Consider the following 22,438-nt stretch of genomic DNA (forward strand, 5'->3'; position numbering starts at 1 on the left):
GAATTCCTGATACTAGGATGAACTCAGCTGGTCAGTTTTTCTGCATATTTCACAGAAACAGTGCTCACATATTCATGTAGAAGCACCCATCATGTGCCAAGCTCTGTGCTGGATGCTGTAGAGAGATGTGGACTATTTGTTGAGTGTGAATCTCTACTTATGTAGTTTTTTGTTTCATGTCTGTCTCAATAGCCAGGTCATTGAGCCCCGATGAAGGCAAGAGCTGTGTCTGTCTGTTTCATTGCCGTACTCCTGACATGCAGCACATAGAGGCTCAGGAGATACTTGTGGAATAAATAAATAGAGGGGGCAAAATGGCTGGTCTCAGGAAACTCCAGGATTAAGAGGCAGCTAAAACCAGTGGTCTGAAAGCAGACAGATATATGAACATTGTATTTTTAAATATGCTAAAGAAAGATCAAATCCCAACTACCTTCTCTGGCCTTAGGAGACATGAGCAGGTCAGGAGATTCTATGTTATGTGTGTACACAAAACCTAGAAAATTCCTTAGACATAGTCACACTTTCAAAATAAGGGGAAGATCAGTCTAGTACTATGCACTGTAATTTAAATGTTCTTACTCTTCTAACACAAAACAGTGATAACAGGGCAGCCATGTGTCCTCCGTGACTGCACTTTTCTTCTTCTGTTAAATCACTCATTGGTATGTTTGAACTTGTAGACGTTATCAGCAGTGTCAGATTTTCCCCTGACTATACTAGATGGCCAGGGAACGCTGGTTTCTAAGTGGTCAGATGAACAGTCTCTGAAAAAAAGGAAAATAATAAAGTGGACTGATTCAGGTAAACTGACTCATATTCAACAGAAGGGCAAACAAGGGTGCTGTGGGAGGGGAAGGGGTGGAGACAGCTCACCCAATTCAGACTCATCTAACAGTAGGCTTCTAGAAAAATGCCCCAGTCTTCCTCTTACAATCCAGAGGAATGACAGTAATAGTTTCCCTGTCTGGCTGAGTAGATGAGGAAAGCATAACCATTAAAGAGCCATGACACACCAACTTGGGGAGCTGTGGCGGCTCCAGGATCTCCTCCAACCACTCCATGTGTGTTACGTATGCTGTGGTGTGGTGGAAGGAGTTCGATACACCTAGGTTCAAATCCCAGCTCTGACACTCTGTGTCACATTGCATAGGTTACTGCACCTTCGTTTTTCTGTAAAGCAAAGATAATAATACCTATCTCACTAAGTCATTGGTAAGATTACATAAAATATTTGCTTGATAACCATTAGACATTCAGTAAAGGTTAATTCCCACTCTTACTAGAGGGGAAGCAAAGGTTTAGATACTATGAATAAGACTGCACAATTATTTGGCAGACTGTGAGGGTCTTTGAAAATGCTTGAGCTAGTTCTGCCCTGTGGTTTTATTGTTTATTAACTGTCAGCAGGTTCTTCTCTGTACTAGACCTAAAGTGATGTAGCTTCAACTCACCTGTCTATAAAAAGAACTTTACTCTCTTTTCCATCTGCTAGCCCTTAGAATCTAAGGTTTGGATATTTGCTGTTAGCATTGGCTCATGGGTTATTTTATTATTTAATTAGTTATAGTCTATTACCGTCACGTATTAATTTTAATGCTCAAATTGTACCACGTTTTACCAGTGGCAGCCCTTAAGCCTTTAAGTGTTGAAAGATGCTTGTCACATCTTTTCTCCAAATCATCTCTGATTAGAAGTCCTCAGTTTCTGTGTCTGTTCCTTATATTTATATATTTTTCACATCCAGGTTGCCTTCATCTGGATTTACTCTAGTGTGTAATTTCTACATAAAATGGGTCCTATAAATACATCTAAATACAAATACATCTAAATATAAATACATCTAAAAGGTACATAATACTGCAGAAGTATTCTAACTAATGTAAACATGGCTCCTTGTTCCAGGACTAGCTGCTGTGTGCGGATCCTCCTTAAGGTATGCCATGTTTAGCATATGTGTCCAGTGCTGGCTCAGAAAATCTCCATGCCCTTTTTTATGGACTGCCCTTATTCAGGCAGGTGACTTAGTAACCTGAGTGTAGGACTACTTTATGTCTATTAGATTTTCTCTTATTTAGTTCCATCTCAGTGTTCTAGCATGTATTGAATACAAATTATCTTGTCCAGTGTGTTAGCCATATCGCTCTGCAATATTGGATAAATGCATCTTCTGCAGCTTCATCCAAATTCTTGCTAAAAAGACAAGATTGGGAGCAGAAGACCAATGCCCAACACCCCTCCTCATTTCTCACATAGGGTCTGTAACTTGGAAACCTCCTTGTCTGACTCTTCTTTAACATCTCCAGGGAAAGAAATGCAACCACTTTTCTCTATAGCAGAGAAGCTGAGCTGTTTTCTTAAGCTGTAAATCCTCTCTTGATGAGAAAACAGTCTAATATTCTTAATCCTACATTAAACACTGACAACACAATATGGGTGCCTCAGTAAATGGCATTAGTAGCTTTTCCAGGGTTGCTTTTGTTCAATACTTAAATGGATCTGTATAGCTTCTACCTTACACCTGTCTAATGCAAAAGTGGTAGTTCCCCAAGGGGCAAACAGGTGTGCTCACTTTGTTCCATGGTGGTCTGAGCCCACCTTCCCTATTCTGTCCAGGAGTAAGTTCATGGTTTTCTGAAAAGGTCATTCCACTGTAAATAGTCTTTTGACTATATGTGCATTACTAAATGGCGGGGCTTTGCAGTCACACTTTAGAAGAAATCTACAATTATAGAATTCTAGCCAAGCAGGGCTGAGTAATGAGGTGACAGCCAAATATCTTCTTGTTTAACCTGATGGATATCTGCTGAATCCAGCTAATGGTACAAAAGTAGCCATCTGCACTGTAATAGTTCCAGTGCATGTATTTGCCATTTAGCCCAGGCATGCTGGAAACATAAAATAAATGCTTATTGAATGGAACATTACAAACCTATCCTAGTTGGGATACTCTCCATCTGAAAATCACTATAAATTTCCAGACATGTCCGGGTTGGCTGGAGAGAGGGAGATTGAAGTGAAATTGACTTGCTGGTACTCTTCTCTGAAAAAATTATAAGGGAAGGAACACTGCTGAAACATTTCAGGCTGGTGTGTGGTTTGAAGAGGAACTTCAGTAACAAGCTAATGTGAGCTGAGGTGAAATGTGGGCTGATAATGGTGATATGCCAAAGAAGAACAGGGAAATACCTGGAGAACCCCTGAGATTTTCGGATATAACTCAATGGTTTTTAAACCCTGAATTATCACATCAATGTAGTGGGTCATGACCAAGATTTTGTTTTACCAATTGGGAAGGAAGGCTTGGGTAGGAGATGGTAAGGGTCCAACTAAGGGGAAATTCAAAGGATTCCTGCAGTGTCACTGCTGCTTTATAATAAGCCGTAGCATGACGCCAGTTAACAAGAGGCAGGGCAGCCTGGCTGCAGGAGCCTTCTGAGAACAGACCTCCTGTAGAGCCTTACCTGGTTCATCAGAACTGACAATTTCATCACCTGCACACTGGGAGGCCACTAGATGCAAGGGCAGTAGCCAGAGAGAGGAACCACTCCCTGCACCAGGGGACGCCTAGCCCCTGTGTTGGCATATTCCCACCCACTTCGTTCATGAACTGTGCAGAGGCCCTACCTACTCTACAGCAGAAGCTGTTCTCCATGCTAGGAGTACAGCAGTAAATGAGAAGAGGTCCTGCCATCTTCCAGCTTACATTCTGGTACATAGAAAACCAGAAGGAGAAAGGATGGCCATTTCTAGTCTTCTGTAAATTGCGTCAGAGATAAAAGACTGCTTGGTTTTTCTTCTGAGAAAAAGTGGGCTAATGCTGCAACTGAAAGGACTTGAATTAGATGTAAGACATTATTTTCCCTGTAGGGATTAGTGCTTATGGAGGACAGATGACTGAGAGAAAAATTGAAAGTCTTTACTTAAATGGGCTCACAAATAGGAAAAAAGCAAAACAAAACAAAAACAGAATAGGGATGGAGTTAGGACAACTCAAAGGTCAAAGGAGAGCACCCTAGGTCCCATCCCCTAGAAGGAGTCTCCGACTGAGATTCCCATGCCTGTGATTTGAGGATGTGCTCCTACGGGGGGAAAGAGGGAAGGGAAGCAGGGTCCAGTGGGGAAGGAGTGAAGGCTGGTCCCTTCCAGAGCTCTGCAGTAGGAATTGCATGGAGTTTGCCCTGCCTTGAGGCAAGGGGGCCAGCCGTTTGTGTCGGTTGTGAGCTGTGAGCAGCCAACAGGCACAAGAGCTGGGACATGGGTGCCCTGGCAAGAAAGGGGATCTGGGTGGGCTGCCAGTAGTGTCTCCTGCAGGGAGGAAATGTGATGTAAAAGAAAGGGGATGGGTTTTCAAATCAGGTATGGATTCAATCCCCAACTAGGTACCAGCTGCATGACCTGAGTGGTCCTTTAATCACTTCATACCTCCATCTCCTCATCTGTGCAATGAAGGCAGTGATTTCTACTTCCTGGGATTTTGAAGGACTAGCTGAGATTCTATATGAAAGAGCACAGAAGACCTGGGGTAGGTCACTGCCCAGGGGACTGTGGGGCACTCATGTGCAAGAAAACAGGCAGCAACATGCCCCCTAGAGTTTCAAGGGGCCACAGACCACTGTGTTTTGCCACTGAAGAGAAAACCAAACATCTGGAAATGTGGAGACTTGGCAGCATTAGGATTGATAAAAATCTTAGCACTTCACATGGTAATATTTTTCACTTGACACATTCTTGAAAACCATCACGATGGTCCATCCAAGACCGGGTCTCCAGCATGTGGCTGTGACAGCATGTTAGGTTTAGCTGTGGTCCCTGGACAGTGGCACCACACACTGGAGATCCAGCCCATTAAGTGTGCTATCTTAAAGGCAGGAAAAATGGGATAGGTCTCTGGGAAAAATTCCTCAGCACTAGTATTACTCTGCCCTTTGTCTCAGTGGGGCTGGAGGGGCCCATGAAATATTTCTTATTAGGGAGAGATTATGCTGCCTGCCATTTAGTAAAAAACACTTCAAACCCTTAAATAAATACCTGAAAAGTATATATAATTGCACTTCCTGTTACCAGGGCCTGGAGTAGATATATCTGAAGTCTAAACTTGGGCTTTATAATATAGCTGCGTAATCTCGAGTCTCAGTCACATCCCACACCTGACAGCATACAGGATTAGAATTGCTGTATAAATCCGATAGAAACACTCTGATTTTTCTCAAGGACTTGATATTCACCCCAAAGTAGGAAAAATACCATCTCCACTCTAAGCCCAAATTGTAATTTCTTTTTTTTTTTTAGCTTTCTTAATAATTCAAGTCCAGAGCTAGGTTTGAAAATAACTTTCTTCCCAGTATAGTTCCTTTGTTACTTTTATCTGTGGTAGGCAGGTGGCTGGAGGAGGAGGAGAAGGAGCAGAGAGCAACAAAATGCAGAGGTTTCTGTGGTACTCGGTATGCCTGCAGCTCCCCACCTCTGGCTGCCCTCTCACCTCCCAGAAGCACAACTCCATCCTCTCCTCAGAGACATTCGACACAGTACAAATGTGTGGGCTTTTCAGAACAAGTTGATAAAGTGTGAGGAATCGAAGTCACAGGTTTTCCTCTAAGTGAAATTTCTTCAAATAAATGACTGGCTTCCAGCTGTTGCATACCACCAAAGGGTATGAAATATACTTTGCTGAAAAATACAACCTAGGTTCACAGGGCAAAATATTTCATATCAGCATTATTTTACTTAATATTTTGATTTATATTCCATAGCTTAAAAACCTCCCTCAAGAAACCCATCATTAAAATTGCCAATCGTCTGCAAAAGCAAGTAAGTTTCATAAAATATAGCAGACAGTGAGTAGTTTGCTGAACACACGCAGCTTGCAGGAAACCTCGGAAGTGCTCTCGTGGTACTCAGAGCACTTGGACCCGCATAAAAATTTGTTTCAGGTTTATACAAGTACTTGTTACAGAAATAGGGACACTGGAAAAGGTGATTTGCCAGTAGATGAGATCTATAGGTGATAGCTGCAAGGGTAACCAGAGACTAGATCTGATTCAATGTGAGTTTGGAATTTGAAATCATGGAATCTTAGGAAGGAAAGGAACCTTAGAGATCATCTAGCCCTCTTCCTTCTGTTTAAAAAAAAAAAGTGACTTGCCTAGAGTCATGAAGCCACTTAACAGCAGACCTAAGATTCAAAACCAGGTCAATCTCCTGCCTGGTAAGTTGGATTAAAAGCAGTGCTTTTGTAGTAACCTTGATGGTTCAGCTTGATCCTTGCAACAGAAAGAAAACCCTACTATTACCCTCCCATCCACCCACTATGCTGAATGTCCTTGCATCACCTCCCACTCTGCCCCAGCAAATCCACAGCAACACAAAGTAAATTACAAAGTGGTTCTGTAGCCCAGTCCAGGGGCTTCAGGGTTGGCATGTGGCAAGTATTAATGCCTATCACAGACTCATTGATGCCAAGTACTCGTGACTCACATCATAGCCTTGGTGGGAGTGTGATTCTGCCCTAGACAGAATCTTCCAGCCTCTCAAGCAAATTCTGGTTGGGCTCTGAGAGCTTGGCAGTGAGCACTGGGATGTGGCAAGGCAGATCCCTGCTTCAGAGCTGCCTGGGAGGACTGAGCTGCCAGAACCAGTTCAGCCCCACCACAGCCCAACTCAAATTGAAATCCACTTTATTATTAGAATTTTGGTGGAAGGAGAAAGCAAATCTGAGAGCAAGCCAAGATGTTAAAGTGGATTAGCTGGAGACAGTCCAAGGCAAACAAGGCTCAAGTGAGTACACTTGCAGTTCTGCCAGGGGAAGGGGTACAAGAAGGGAGATGGCATGGTTGGAGGGAGGGGAGGGGAGAGCAAAGCTTGGAGCCTGCAGGTAGAGAAGTGGTGGCTTTCAGGGCAAGGATTTTACTGGAGTGTTCTGTACAGACCTTTTGATGTATCACTTACCCTTTCTTCCTTCTGTATCAATTAAGGAGAAAAAGTTATTTTCATATAGAACAAAATGACTGAATCCACATTGTCAAAACTAATGGTAGGGGAAACAGGGAATGGGAAATTTTGTTCTTCAAAAGTTGAGTTCCAGGATGACTAGAAGTGATATTGGAAGTGTGGTACCTAGAGGCAAGCTCTTCTGGTAGGCATGAAAATAAACTTAAAAACTTTAAGCAGAAGGAGTTGGGCATGGTGGTTTGCACCTGTAATCCTACTACTTTGAGAGGCCAAGGTGGGTGGATCAGCTGAGTCTAGGAGCTCAAGACCAGCCTGGGCAGCATGGTGAAACCCTATCTCTACAAAATATATAAACAAAAATTAGCCAGGCATGGTGGCACATGCCTTAGTCTCAGCTCCTAGGGAGGCTGAGGTGGGAGGACTGCTTGAGCCCAAGAGATTGAGACTTCAGTGAGCTGTGATTGCACCACTGTACTCCAACCTGGAGTGAGACCCTGTCTCAAAAAAACAAACAAAAAATAAAACAAGAAATCTTTAAGCGAAAATTTGCTAGACAAGAACCTCTGGAGCCAAAGCAATGTAGAGTAGGTGGGGCAGGCTGGAGGTGGCTTTGAAGCTGTGGCTCTGCTTTCGCTGGAGCTCCCTTTACCGTATGTGCTGTGGTATAAAACATAACAATGTCATCTGTGGCCATAACATAGAATTCTTGGAAAGATCTTGTTGACCAGACAAGTGGGAAAATGTAACTCTTTTTTGTGATCTTGAGCTTGGGTTGAAAATTCTTGCCTGGGTTTCACCTACCTGGCAGTTTAGTGTCACTTCATCACTTCTGGTGACTACTGCCAAACTGTCTGCCACAACCAAAGTGGCAGTTGGATGATGGGAGTGGGTGAATACATGGGTGTGTGAGGTGAGACCTTCCACATTGCTAAAAAGCCGGCTTTGTCAAGAGAAACAAGTTCGAAGATCCTCTATGGTGAAACAGTGAGGACGTAATGTCCTCAGGGCTTCTTCCAGGAGTGGTCAGTAGTAGTAGATGCCAGTTAAGGGCACCTTGCCTCAGGCTTGAGAGCTCTTCTTTTGGGGAGAAAACTGCTAAAAGAAGATGCAGAACTGTATAGATCAGACCAGGACAGATGTCCACTCCTATTTTCAACCAGACACTTGCCCCACTACTAATCAGCCTTCTCATCCTTCTCCCGCCATGTCCCATGCAGATATGGCCCTGGTTGTGTTGAGCACGCATGTTCTCATATCAGGCTGGCAGTTTGTTTTCAGTCTCTCCCATTTGTAGGAACTTAAAGTTGAGTCTTACATGTTCAGAATGTTCAGATAGTCTAATTTTTTTTTCTTTAAGAATTCTAGTTCTTTTTGAAATTGCTAATTGCAGAGAGAGGTATACATTAACTAGAATTTCAGGAGAGATGCTTTCTGCATGACCGCTGCTGATCCTGGCTAAAGAATGCTTTGTGAATGCTCCTATATACATTGCTTTCTGCCCTGTGGCAACTCAACTGCAAGGACTTAAATACCTCTTTGAATGTTATGAGGTGCTGGAGGAAAACCCAGGCTCTATTTTTTTTACTACATCTGTACCCTCTCTCCTGCTAGCTAGTGTCCTTTCTGCAAGAATAGAATTTTTAAAGTTTCACTTACTGTTTGCTGTTCCTCATTTACACATGGAAAACAGATTGGCTTAATGAGCAATAGAAGATATTAAAAATTCATTATATTTTCCTTTACTTGGGATTTTCATGTAGGCTGTCTTTTTATCTCATTTACTAATTAATTCATCAGTCATTTTCTGAGCTTCTACCATGTGCCAGGCACTATTGTAGACACAGAGGATATGGCAATGAAGAAAGCACACACAGCACCCTCGTTTCCTGCTTAGACCTTTCTCTGCTGTGCTGATAGCCTGAATATGCCCAATTTTGAGACATTTCAGATTATTGTTTGAAAAAAAGAAAAATTCTTCTTGAAAAAGGATTTGAAGGTATATGGAGTGGGTGTAGTTTGTTAAAGAGAGGTACTTCAAATCATGGAACCTGAAATCTGTAACTTATTTCACCTCCCCACCCCACTTCATCCTGCCACCCCCAAAATGAGAACGGTCACGGTTCTTAGGCCTTTTTCCACACAGTCTCTTAAAGGGGAATGCTTACTGCATTAATTTAAAAAATTCTTTAAAAATCTTAAAAGAGAAAGACTTCTAAAATATGTTCTCTGACATTTAAATTTAAGACAATACTGCCAACAGGGGAATATGAAGTCCCAACCATGAAATTTGCTGTTATTTGGAGGGCAAACTACTAGGAACTACCACTGATACATGCCCAAACAGAAAGTTCTGTTAACACGGAAGAATGAAATTTAGGCAGAACAGAAAATTATTTCAAGTATATTGGTACACTGAATTCATTCTTTTATTGAACAAAATTTAATTGTGTCCATTGATGACCAGATACCACGGAGATTCAGAATATATCAAAACAACTTCTATTTCTGCCCAGTCTTCTGAGTTCACACCCCAATTGATAATATGTGACAGTATGTGATGATAGGGTGGCTATATACACATTATATGTATTTATGAAGGGGGACAGTTGTACTTGCACTTCCTTTAAGCCAGTTGTTGTGCTAGGCCTCAGAGAAGTTACAAAGACAAATGTGCCAGATGAGATACACATTTACCACCCAATATGTTACATTTAAACCAGAAGCATACTTTTTGAAAGATAAATTTTGCCTGGGAACCAAAGAAGACTTTTACATCAGAAGTGAAATTTTAGCTTGGCCTTGAAGTTCATCTTCCTTTCTGTTTTTCCTTCTTTGTATCAATTTTGGTCCCAAAATATTTATTCTATATTATTTTTTAATTGAAATGTACAGTATTTATATTACCTAACTGAAAGTTATGGGTCAATCTGATTAAATGTTACTTACCATCTTATTTCTATAGATAAAATGTATTCTTAAGTACAAACATCTGATTTATATCAAACTTTCTAAATTTTTCAAAATGCAAAATATATATGCGAAAATGTACAAACAGAACTGAACAATTTAATGGATAATTATGAAGTGAACATAGATGTAAAAACCATGCAGGTCATGAAATAGAACATTGCTGGCTTTTCAGAATCCCCGTTTGTGCCCCTCCCTGGTCACAACCCTGGAGGTCACCATTCTCCTTGCATGCATAATAGTGTCTTTACTTTTTTTATAATTTTACCTTCTATGCAGGTATCCCTAAACAATTTCATCTCAATGTGGCTGTTTTTATATGACTAGAATCATTCTACATATATCCTTTTGTGTCTCACTTCTGTTGCTCAACACTTATTTTTATGGGATTCATCGATGCTGATGTGTATAGTTCATTCATTTTCATCATTATATAGTATTCCATTGTGTGAGTATACCACAATGTATCCATTCTGTACATGCAATGTTTGGGGCAATTGTGAACAATGCTGCTATGGATATTCTGGTATACATACCCCTGTGCATGTGTACTTGAATTTCTCTAGGGTATAAAACTAAAAGTAAAATTGTTAGGTGATAGGATGTGTGTGTATATTTTCACCTTTACTTGAAGATGTCAACTATTTTTCAAAGTGCCGATACCAAATTTACACTCCTGCCAATATATATGAAGTTTTCCATTGCTCTATATCCTCACCACTACTTTGTATTGTTAGACTTCAAAATTTTTACAGATCTGGTGGATGTGTATTGATATCTACTTATGGCTTTAATTCGTGTTTCCCTGCTTACTAATCAAGTTGAACATCTTTTCCTGTTTGTATTGGGCCTTTGATTTTCTCTTTTATAATGTCCCTGGTTCAAGCTTTTACCTGTGTGTACAGTGGGTTGTTTGGCTTTTCTTATTTATTTTTAGAAGTTCATATATTCTGGATATTAGTCCTTTGTTGGTCATGTATGTAATATGTTTCACCCTGTGGCAAATCTTTTCGTTCTCCTTATTGTGTCTTGATAAACACATACACTTTGATATTCTGAAGGCTATACATTGGTAAGTTAGAGGCTCATGTGATGTGACATATGAGGCATCTCTTACATTTTGTATTTTTTTTTGAGACCGAGTCTTGCTCTGTCACCCAAGTTGGAAGTGCAGTGGTACAATCTCAGCTCACTGCAACCTCCACCTCCCGGGTTCAAGCAATTCTGCTGCCTCAGCCCCCAGAGCTGCTGGGATTACAGGTGCACACCACCACGCCCAACTAATTTTTGTATTTTTAGTAGAGACGGAGTTTCACCATGTTGGCCAGGCTGGTCTCAAATTCTGACCTCAAGTGATCCACCCACTTCGGCCTCCCAAAGTGCTGGGATTACAGGCATGAGCCACTGCTCCCAACCACATTTAGTATTTTAGGGTACAGTTCACCATTTGTTTCTCCACAGAATAGTGTACCAACATGGAAACTTAATATATAATGCAAGTTTATGTTAATCCTTAAGTATGCCTCTATTTTAATGAAGGAATAAGAAGTTGACTTTTTTAAATTAATGTTTGTTACATTTCACTCTATACATTATATGCAGGTAATAGAGATGCAGCAATGAAATATGCTAGAAAAAAGGTACTAAATTTGTTGGTTTTGGATCTTAGATGTCTGACAAACAGCCAAAATCTAGGAAGAAACTAGCAAAACTAAACATCTGTTGCTCACAGGAAAGCCTTTCAAATCTTAATTTTATATATAATCCTTATGATCTTTGCCATCTAGTTACTCAACCCAAAGGATATTAGAAGATGAGAAAGTTACTTCTCTATAGGCACATGTATTGCCACAAAGGCTAAACTGTTGACAGCAAGGGAGGATACAGAAAAGCTATGAAAGCAAAAGCTGATGGAGGAACTAACTCCAATAGTGTGGTTCTATTTAGTGAAGCTATCAGGAGTGCTATATGGCTGGGTGTGTTCTGAGGTCATCGCTTGTATTTCGCACTACACCAGAACAAACAAGCACAATGTGATGTGTTTGGCATTGTGGGCAAGAGAGAGATCTAGAAACTGGGACCAAATGTAATTAAGAAAACTAAAGCTTCCAGTTTGGGAAGATCAGAGAATGTTCCACGTTAGATTTTACTGAATGGGTAGAATTTATCCAGGCAAGATTCGTGTTGGGAGCAAGGAGGAAGATCATTCCAAATGGATCAAACAGCAAGAGTGAGGGGTAAGGGAGAAAGGAGAATATAGGGTAAGTTTGGGGCATGGAGAGTCAGTATGCCTGGTTCAAGTTCAGGGTTTGTGAATTAAGGTTTGGGAAATAAAACTGGAATGATTGGCTGAGTCACATCATGGCAGATGCTGAACACCATTCAAAGGAATTTAGACTTTATTGAGTAGCACACAAAAAATGCTGAGGGTTTTTTTTTTGTTTCAGCATGATGATTATAGAATTACGTTTATCCTCACCTTGATGCGTCATTGTCCTTTTATTCTTTCATTCTCTAGCCTCCAAAACAGTCTATTGTTAGTCCATCCACAAGTTCTGGATCTCCTTCTTTGTAGCTGCCGTCAGTGTATCAACTCAGCACCTCTTCTCTTTCTCATATTGTCAAACACCTCCTTTTCCTCTGCCATCTAATGCTTATTTGTTACCTCATGCTCCCAATGAGAACTGCTCTTGAACTTCTACTCCTGAATCTTCTTTCTTTAAAACTCCCCATTCTTCAACAATAGTTTTTGTTGCTTCACTTCTGATATCTATGATCAAAATTCGAAACACAAGAGTATGTCTCTGAAGTGACTGTACTGCTAATGCCAATTTCATATTCACTTACCCATTCATTCTCCACATTTTTTTTCTGAGTACCTACTAGGTGCTAAGTGCTGCTCTAGGGTGGAAACACGGCAGGGAAACAAAACAGGCTGGTTTTCATATCTGGAAATGCCCACTGCTCTCCACATTAATCCATGCCCTTCCCCTCATCCCCACAGAGCCACCTACACTAATATTGCCCCTCTCCTCTCCCCTTCCCCTAGTCAAACATTATTCTTTAACATTCAGGGCATACGTTGCCCTGAATTTACTTTGTATTTGCCATGTTGCTTAGCATAAAGCTGTACTCTTAACAATGAGTTGAACACTCTCTGTTCCTAGCGCTTGCCTTTCACCCTGGGATCCAGCACCGTATTTCCAACTGTCTATGACATAACTGCATTTGGATGACCTCTTGCATTCTACTCGACAGAACTGAAACTAAACTCATCATATACCACATCCTTGATCTACTCTTTTCTCAGATTCCATCCACAGCTTTGTCTGTAGACATCGTGGCCCTCCTTCACTCTCTATCCTCTTGCTCAAGTGACTTCCACTGGAGGACTCTCATGATAGCATATTCCTCAGCCTGCTGCATATTCTGTATAATAGGCAAGGTCTGTCCCTGGGAGCTTCTAGAAGAAGAGCATGGCTCCCAAACCACATAGCACTTTCTAGGACCTAGAGCCTCCAGTGAGCAGGCCCCTTCCCTCTGCCCCTGCTCCTCCCCTGGGTCCCAGGCAGTCTGCAAACCTCTCCTCCAATGTGTGTTTTCCAGTACGTGTGTGATCAGCTTCAGTAACAGATAATGATCTCAAAATTGCCTTCATCTACCAAACTATACTGCATCACTGTGTCTCCAAAATTATTTATCTGTCCTGAGAGGTACATTTCTGACCTCAGGAAAGTATTCCTGGAACACATCTTCATCATTAGAGTGATTACTGGAATCCCATCCCTCAGCATTTTGTGAGACTGTATCTCCTTCTGGTTTGCTATTGTTTCTCATGGGTTAGTTTTTAATCTCAACCACTGAATCACAAGATCCATGAACACAGGCTTATGATTGCTACTGTGTGTTACCTGCAGCACACTGAGGTAGAAGTAGCTTTTCACAGAAAGAGCACAAACAGTAATTTGAATGATATGTTTTATGTATATATCTCTGGTTTGTGTATATTTATGAATTTGTGTGTGTGTTCCTCAGTGTGTTTCCCATATACTCTGTAAGAAGTATTCATCTATGTGGTTTGAGGGGCAAGAACTTGGATATTTTCCCTGGCCATTAGGCCAGTGACATAAACTAGTAAGTCGGGTCCTCCACAAGCTCATGACTGTCGCTGGCGCAATACAGGGCTTACCTGAGCTGTAGCCTGGAGTTATTTTTGCCCCCACTTCCTATTCTCTCTCAATATGAAAGACTAATTTTGCTTTTAAACATGAAGGGGGTGGCCAGGTGCGGTGGCTTACGCCTATAATCCCAACACTTTGGGAAGCTGAGGCGGGTGGATCATGAGGTCAGGAGTTTGAGACCAGCCTGGCCAACGTGGTGAAACCCTGCCACTACTGAAAATACAAAAAATTAGCCAGGCATGGTGGCACACGCCTGTAATCCCAGCTACTCAGGAGGCTGAGGCAGTAGAATTGCTGGAACCACAGAGGCAGAGGTTGCAGTGAGCTGAGATCACACCACTGCACTCCAGCCTGGGAAACAGAGCAAGTCTCTGTCTTGGAAAAATAAAAAATAAAAACAATTAAAAATTTAAAAAAAAACATGAAGGGGGAATATGTATGTGCACATGTGTGTTTGTATGTGTGTTTATGCATATGTACATACATACGTATGTGCATGTATGTATGCATATATGTATATATGAAGAAAATACACCAGAATGTAAATAATGGGTATTTCTGGGTGGTGTCTTTTTTAGTTTTTGTATTATGTCTTACAACATGACATAATAAATTTAACAAAAACCTAATAGATATTATTTTTTAAAGACCAGAAAGGAACAAGATTATCAGATAGTTGCTGGGGTCCACCCTCTGCATGAACCAAGGGTGAGGGACGAGCAGGTGCCTAGCAGAGAACAGGGTGATCCGCTCTCAGGACCTTGGGATTCAAGAAGGCAGTCAGACAGTGAATTCAGGCTGACTTGCAGGACTGGCAGAGGTTGTGAGCTGAAGAACTGGCAACTTTGTTTGGTTGTGAAGGTCAGGAGCCTTGGACTGTGAAAAGAAAGAGAAAGAAAATTCAGGGGGTAGGGGGCTGGGAGCAGGAAGGGGATAAGAAGTTCTTGAAGGTTTACCCCAAAACCCCGCAGTCTAGAGACCTGTGGAAAAGGTGAGGAAAAGCTTGAAATATAGCTTCAAATTCATGAGACATTTTCATGAAGAGATATGCAGTGGGAGAGAGAAGCAGACGTGTTTCCAGTTTGGTGTTTACTTTCTGTGATTCCAGAGGGAGGGGTTCCCAGAGTGACTCAGCATGGGGACACGGGGACCCAGGTCAGGAGGACACAGAGAGCGCCCACTAGGGAAAGCGTTTGCCACTGTGTGAGCAGCAAGCTTTTAAACAGGAGGTGGGTCAAGACAGCTCCCCCGAACCCATTACCCTCTCTTCCCTCCTCTCCCACAGTCTAAGGACAGAGGGAAGGTTTTCTGGTAAAGAAACTATTTCTAACCTTTCTAAATTGGAAACAAACAAAAAATGACATGAAACAAGTATTTTCCAGGATGTCTCTCCCACACTGCCTAGGTTCAGAGTTCTCTCAGAGGGTTCCCTGAGCAGAGGGAAAAATGGCAAGAGGAAAAACATAGATTGAATGTTGCTGGCTGTGGCTGATGTCTTTGCACTGGGGTGGGTGTGGCCAGCCTGTCACTCAGGAGGCAGCATAACAGGTGGGCATACCTCCGCACCACCTACGAGGCCTTCCTGCTCATCGCTGACCGCTCAGCCAGCCTGTCTTTATCAGTAACCTCCTTATAGAATTTGGGAAGAAGAGCCCTGGGGTCAACATGAGCAGCAAACACAAACATCTAGATTCAAAAGGAGACCCTTCAGGCAGAGTAGGATGCATGATAAAACAAATAAGAAGGTCGCAAAAATCAGTCCTTGAAAAGAGCTGACCTGAAAGTGTGTTTCATGGTATTAATTTATGTCTTCTCTCTATGCAGTATTTAATATTTTTGTTACTGTATATCTCAGTTTTTAATTCTGATGGCTGCATCAAGTGATATTTCCAGTCTGGGCTCTGGTTTGAAACCTGAGGTGGAGAAAGCCTTTTTAAAACCAGTTAATATAGTATTCACAGAGTTCCTCTGTAGGTAATGAAGGAACACAGAATACATAAAGTCCCTGCCAAGGACAGAATCCCCCACCCCATCTAATGGAAGAGATACAGGCTTTTCCCTAAAAGTCCCTGCCAAGGACAGAATTCCCCACCCGATCTAATGGAAGAGATACAGGCCTTTCCCTAAGAAGTCACTGCTATAATTGGGCAGGCAGAGAAAATCACAAAGGCTGCCTGCAAGCAAGCCATCCAGAGGTTAAGCAACTAACAGTAACCACTGCCTTTCTTACTGAACTCCTAATATGAGCCTGGCATTTTACATGTACTCTCTCCTGTCATTCCCACAACAATTCTTCAAGGTAAGTATCATTATCCTCATTTTGCAGATGAGGAAAACGTCACTCCAAGAGGTTGAATAATTTACCCAGGGTCACACAACCAGAAAGTGGCAGAGATGAGATTTGAACCCAGGTGTTTCTGATATCCATTATGCACACTGCCTTCCACTGGCCAAGTCCACTAAAGAAAACAATTGGATGATTCAGGCAAAAACACACAAAGCAACATTTTGGCCCAAATAATATAAATTCTATCAGTTCCCTCTTCTCATAAGCTGAATAAAACACACTTGAATTTAAAAACCAAGAAAATTCTGTGTTCCATGTATTGTCTGTTAATCACTCACTGTCTTCTGTGCCAAGCAGAGCATGGCATGAGTCAGGAATTTAGAGGAGGCTGTTTATTCTGTCTTAGCCATACGAATAGCAATTCAAGCACATCCCTGCCTCCATGGTTTTCTAATCCATCAGACAAAAAACATTGGAAACATGCAGTCGACTGAAGATGCATTTGAAAATCTATTGCAAAATAACTGCCTCAAATTCTTAGTGGAACGAGAAAAGGTATAATATAATAAACATGTTCTCCTTTTGTGGCTATTTTTCTATCACTGGATGTCCAATGAATGCAAAACGTCTCACTATAGCTCAGCTCTTATTCCAAAAGTCTAACATTAGAATGGGGCCTACAGTATATTAAATAAACAGCATTTATATGAAGGAGTCTGTACATGAATAGGGGGAGATAGGGGAAATTTTAGCATACCCTCCCCTCATAAAAAAGAATGCTGAGAAGGTTTGGTTAATAAAAGCCACTGTCCTATAAAGTGGGTCTCACTGATTCTTGCCCCTGATGGAAAATGCCAAAGACAAGTGCTTCTGGACAATGTGTGCTGGAAAATGTGAAAATGTGCTTGATATCCTGCAAAACTCAGCTTTTCTGATGTTGGAGTGATTGGCATAAAGAAAAGACCTCTGTGCTAAGCATTCCAAGGCAAGTGACCCTTAGAATTACCAGGCAAATATTTCAAAAAGTTGATCTCAGGCTCTACACTGGCCTATGGAATCAGAAAGCCAAAGTATAGAGTTATTGGATATGAAATGTATATGAACTCTAAGCTGAGAGCTGTTTTCTCAAAGAAGAGAAATTACTGGCATTTCAAAAAAAAATTTAATGGTCTCTTTTTCACACTTCCACTTAAACTTTTTCCACTAGTCCTTGCCCTAGGCCAGATTTTTGAAAAATCATCTCAATAATGTCATGAATGACTATCATTTTTAAAGTTAAGAGCTATGCATTGATGTTTAGTTTAACCACTCTTTTAAGGTACCAAGTGGGCTATATAAAATAATGGCTTCCTGGATAACTGTGTATGTATTTTCTCAGGGCTTAAGGGAGCAAGTGTTCAGTATCACCCATATGAGTTTATCACCTATTTCCTATTTCTCACACATCAAACCATCATGAGAAAGATTTGTGGATATACAGAGATCATCATAGCTTAAGGTTTAAAAGGGGATAAGAAATTTTCTTTAACCCCCAATGGATATATATAATGAAGTGACCCAAACCACTTCAGGTTAGGTCCTCAGGGACAGGATAGATTCTTATGTGAGGAATGCTTTCCAAGATTTTTAGAATCCACAAACATACAAATGTACAAATATTATTTAGAAGATGGATTCTCCTTTAGAAGAGGCAACATGTACAGTGATTAAGAACCGCTTTGAAGTCACACAAACCTTGGTTCAGATCTCACCCCCTCCACTTGCCAGCTGTATGATCCTGGGCAGGACTTCTCCAGGCCTCAGTCTGCAAAATGAGGGCAATGGTATTACCCACTCCATGAGGTTGTGGTGCAGATCATGTGAAATGATGCATGTGAAACACTCAGCACCTTGTCAGACATGTGGTAAGCACTCAATAAATGTTAGCTATTAATAAGAACAATAAAAATATTTTTAAACTGCTATCCTCTTCAGAATTTTAACAACCGTATAAAGAGCAGAATGCCAAACTCAGCATTTATAAGACTATTAAATCCTGCCACTAAAATAAATTCTGTAGGCCTTGTAGCACATCTATAAAAAAAAAAAAAAAAAAACCTGGTAATGACAGTGAATTATGGTGTGTGTGGGGGTGTCTAGCTAATCAGGACAGCTGATGCCACCTTCCATGCTAATGACATTACACACAGAAAAAATGTGATTTAAAATTCTTTTTTTTGTTTCTTTCTTTCTTGTTTTTTTTTTCTTTTTAATTATATTTTAGTTCTAGAGTACATGAGACGGAGTCTCACTCTGTCACCCAGGCTGGAGTGCAGTGGTGCAATCTCGGCTCACTGCAACCTCCGCCTCCCAGGTTCAAGTGATTCTCCTGCCTCAGCCTCCCTAGCAGCTGGGATTACAGGCGCCTGCCACCACACCCAGCTAACTTTTGTATTTTTAGTAGAGACGGGGTTTCACTGTGTTGGCCAGGTTAGTCTCGAACGCCTGATCTCGTGATCCGCCCTCCTCAGCCTCCCAAAGTTCTAGGATTACAGGCGTGAGCCACCATGCCCGGCCGTGATTTAAAATTCTTAAGCCACTTTTGCCCTGTAAAGTTGGGCTCAGTGAGTTCACCAGTCCTTTTGCTGTGAGTTACTTCACAAATGCATGTGTATAGCTCCTGGCTTTCTTCAGAATCTCATCTCCTCTCTGAATCCTAAGTATACCTTATATTCCTGGAAGCTCAGGGTAACTGCCACTTCAGCTTGATGCTGAAGTATTTTCTCTCACTAAATGAACAGTTTTTGCCCAGCTGGAGTTCTTACTAAGAGAGTTTCAGACTGTTTTTCTCATTTCCATGCGGCAAGTGTGATAGAACCTTTCACATCATGGAGCTGAGCCACAGTCAATGTGAGACTGTGAGATTATACTCTGGAATTGATCCTGAACTTTTCTTTTGGCCAAGAGCCATTGCTCTTTAGAATATATCACTCTTCCAAGAGCATTACAAGTTGACCTTCCTTGAGAGGTCATTTTTCTTAAGGAAACAGTGATTTCATTGCTTCAGATGGCCCAGTAGAGATGGTGGAAGCCATGCTGGATATGGAAGCTGGGTCTCCAGCTTGGCTCCCCACTCGTTCACTCTCTCACTCAGGAATTCACTCCCTCAGCCAGCCTTGCAGTCTACCCAAACCAGCTGCATGCCTTGGAAAAATTACAGATTGTCACCTGTCATGGTCCCTGGAAACAGTTAAATCATGAATTTTAAGTCCATTACTGTCAACGATGTACTATATAAATGGGTAAACTTTTGTCAGTTTCTTTCTCCCAATTAAATGTTATATAGCAAGATTTGCTGGTAGGGCACAGGGACCCTAAAAGAGCTTAAACAAGAAAACAAATAAAGGATATGAAATAAACACTAATGATCACTGTCACTAGGATCTCACATTTAATGCATCCCCATTTCTATTATTCCTGACTACTCCTGCTTATGGGTCTGGAACGTTGGGAAGCCACTGCAGGACTGGTCTACAGGCGTCTAATGGGATGAAAGCGTATGGATTTGAGTTCCAACCAAGTTAGTAAAAGTGGTTCATCAGTGATCCTCCTCTGGATTGTGGACCTGGTGGGCTTCTTCTGAACCGTCAGACCAAGGAAAGTCTTACACACACTGTTTCCTCTATATCCTCTTCTACAAAATGATTGTGTATTTTTCAGGTTGCACTCTGCACTGGGTTACTAGAAATACAGTAGGTTGCACTGATGATTTAACTCTGTTTTCTATAAGGGCTACGGGATCTCATGCAGATTTTTGCAAAGTTATATGCAAATCACAGAGCCCGGCCCTTTTCTTAACAGGATGGCAACCTTGTTCCTCGGTGGCACCTGGGACCTGGAGATCCTTTCTCCACTTACGTTTAGCGCGCATCCTGGGACTTGTCCCTGCAGCTCACCGGGTTAGCCGTGGCACCGTTGGGACCTCCCACCAGGACTCCAATCACCCACCTCTCTTGAGACTTCTCTGGCAGGGCTGGTGTGGGGTGCAGCCTTTGCTCAGAGGGCAACATGTTCCAAGCAAAATCTCCCCGCCTGGGCCATGGGCTCACCCTCGGGGCTCCCTTCTTCTCTACTGGGTGCAATTCGAGGTTGCTGAGCTTCTCTCCAAAGTCTAAAATGGTGGGGCAGTAGGGACCTGTGAGAGGCCCAATGGCCCAATGTACTTCCCCCAGATCCCACTCAGAACAGCAGGTACGCCCAGGCTCCTGCTGCCCTAGAGGTCTGCAACATGAGTGAAGAGGTTAATTAGAGGGACACACTTATCTCTGAAGTTTTTCTCCAGGCTGAACATTTCTATTATCAGTGGCCCCTAATCTGGAAAAACCCATCATTCTAATCTAGCTTGTATCCCCACATCATGAGAAAGAGGGAAGAAGAAGAAGGGATGATGTGTGGTAGAGAAGATGAGGGTTAACTTTAGCCTTTCCCAAACACTGGCAACAACCACTTCCTCAACAATTTTTCTATTTGCTTCAGCCTACTCAGATTTTTTCAGGTTTTTCTAGCTCCTCCATAACCTCACTCCCTCCCGAGGTCTCTGGTTCAAAGACCACCCTACCAGCCCCTATTTGCTTCAGGTTATCCTGTTGAGGGTGGGTGGGAAGAGTGAGAAGATATAAATGAAAAACTGGCCACATGTTGATAATTGTTGAAACTAGATGATGGTACGTGGACATTCATTATACCATTCTCCCCACTTCTGTATTTGTTTGCAATTTTTCATAATAAAAAAGTTTTAAAAGTCCTCCAGTTTCCAACACACTCAAGAGAGAGCCCCAACCCCAAACACAGAGTTTCATGGAAACCCCACACCAAGGCAAGAGGCAGAGATGATGATTCCATTTCATATATACACTCATTTTCTAACTTTTTTTAAAGGCCCACTGCTTTATTTTCAATAGATTAAACCTGATTTCTGAGAGGTCCTGAAGTTGGGCTTATTTCCCTGGCTGGGTTATGGGGGAGGGCAGGGTAAAGGGATCCTTAAAAAAGTTTACACTTCTATGTATCTCACAATCTTATTGTGAGGATGTGACTTGTTCAGTGTTCTGAACTTTTCGAAGGAATCGTGCTCTCAATGCAAAGTGTCATTCTCTGGAATTGCACCTGGCTCAGGAAAGGACTGTCTTTGTACTTGAATTTAAATCCAATGGAGAACTTTAACACGGGCATTTGCATGACTGAGAATTGCTGCTGTCTTTTTTCCGTATGTCACTTTCTTGAATGTGTTCTAATAAAATGATTCTAAAGCAGGCTGTTGATATACAGTGATTTATAAATACTTTCTGTTGAGTGCTGAGGCCCTTAATTCTCTGCCAAGAACCCTTCCCATCCCACTTTCCAGAAAGATCTGTCAAGCTGGGGACAGATGCAATGAGCGTGTGTCCGGCATGATGGCGGCACCACTGCAATTGCAGCACTAATGAGAATCATATCAACCACAGCAATTTTGTCTTCTGGTTGCCTAGCAACAGAATTTGTTTTTCAGAATAAAGATAATCATAGGTAGAACAGGAGTGTGGTGGGGGGAAGGCAGAGGAGGGGGCAGGGCAGGAACAGGAGTATAATTGACTCCCCCAGGAGGGAATGAGGGAGCAGGGTAGAAGGGAGAGAAAAGCAGCCAAAAAGAGAGAAAGGCAAACTTCAAACTTTCTTTTTTCAGTGGTAGTCCTCAGCACGTTCAAGTGATAATCAATGGTAAAATTTTATTTACAAAATTAAACCTTTTGATATCAAGCTATAGCAATTTACAAATCTCAAAATCTCATTAGGCAAACTGGAAGCAAAAGGGAAATATATATATCTCTGAAGGTAGATATTTTGAGAAACACTTTTAATCCTAATCTTTATGCCCCTCCAGCCAAGACTAGCTAGGGCAGGGGTCCCCAACCCCTGGGCTGCAGACTAACTAATGCCTGATAATGTGAGATGGAACAGTTTCATCCCAAAACCATCCCCTACCCACCTGCTCGCCCCTCCCATTCATAGAAAAATTGCCTTCCATGAAACCAGT

At 41.8% G+C, this 22,438-nt stretch overlaps 1 protein-coding gene across 39 annotated transcripts in view, besides 1 other annotated feature; it reads left to right on the top strand.

Moving 5' to 3' along the window:
- The window catches only part of KALRN (kalirin RhoGEF kinase), a 692,957-nt gene that overhangs the window by 464,805 nt on the left and 205,714 nt on the right, over positions 1-22,438 (top strand). For 15 of the 39 annotated variants that reach the window (NR_170953.1, NR_170952.1, NM_001388417.1 and 12 more), the window contains one exon: positions 20,227-21,677. The exons of the other annotated variants lie outside the window; for them this stretch is intronic. Coding sequence is in view for 13 of the 15 variants with exons in the window: in NM_001388417.1 (NP_001375346.1) it covers positions 20,227-20,289 (63 nt within the window). In the remaining 2 variants the exon portion in view is untranslated. Of the gene's footprint in view, positions 1-20,226; positions 21,678-22,438 lie in introns of those variants that run through there. 39 annotated transcript variants of the gene reach the window in all.
- Positions 12,028-13,227: an enhancer, noted in NCBI's record as "CDK7 strongly-dependent group 2 enhancer chr3:124229048-124230247 (GRCh37/hg19 assembly coordinates)". NCBI's record gives its function as "activates an origin of replication core promoter dependent on BRD2, BRD4, P300/CBP, MED14 and CDK7 cofactors, with strong dependence on CDK7, by STARR-seq in HCT116 cells {active_cell/tissue: HCT116}" and the evidence as "EXISTENCE:reporter gene assay evidence [ECO:0000049][PMID:35650434]".

Source organism: Homo sapiens, chromosome 3 (genome assembly GCF_000001405.40).
Source record: "Homo sapiens chromosome 3, GRCh38.p14 Primary Assembly".
Classification (NCBI taxonomy): Eukaryota; Metazoa; Chordata; class Mammalia; order Primates; family Hominidae; genus Homo; species Homo sapiens.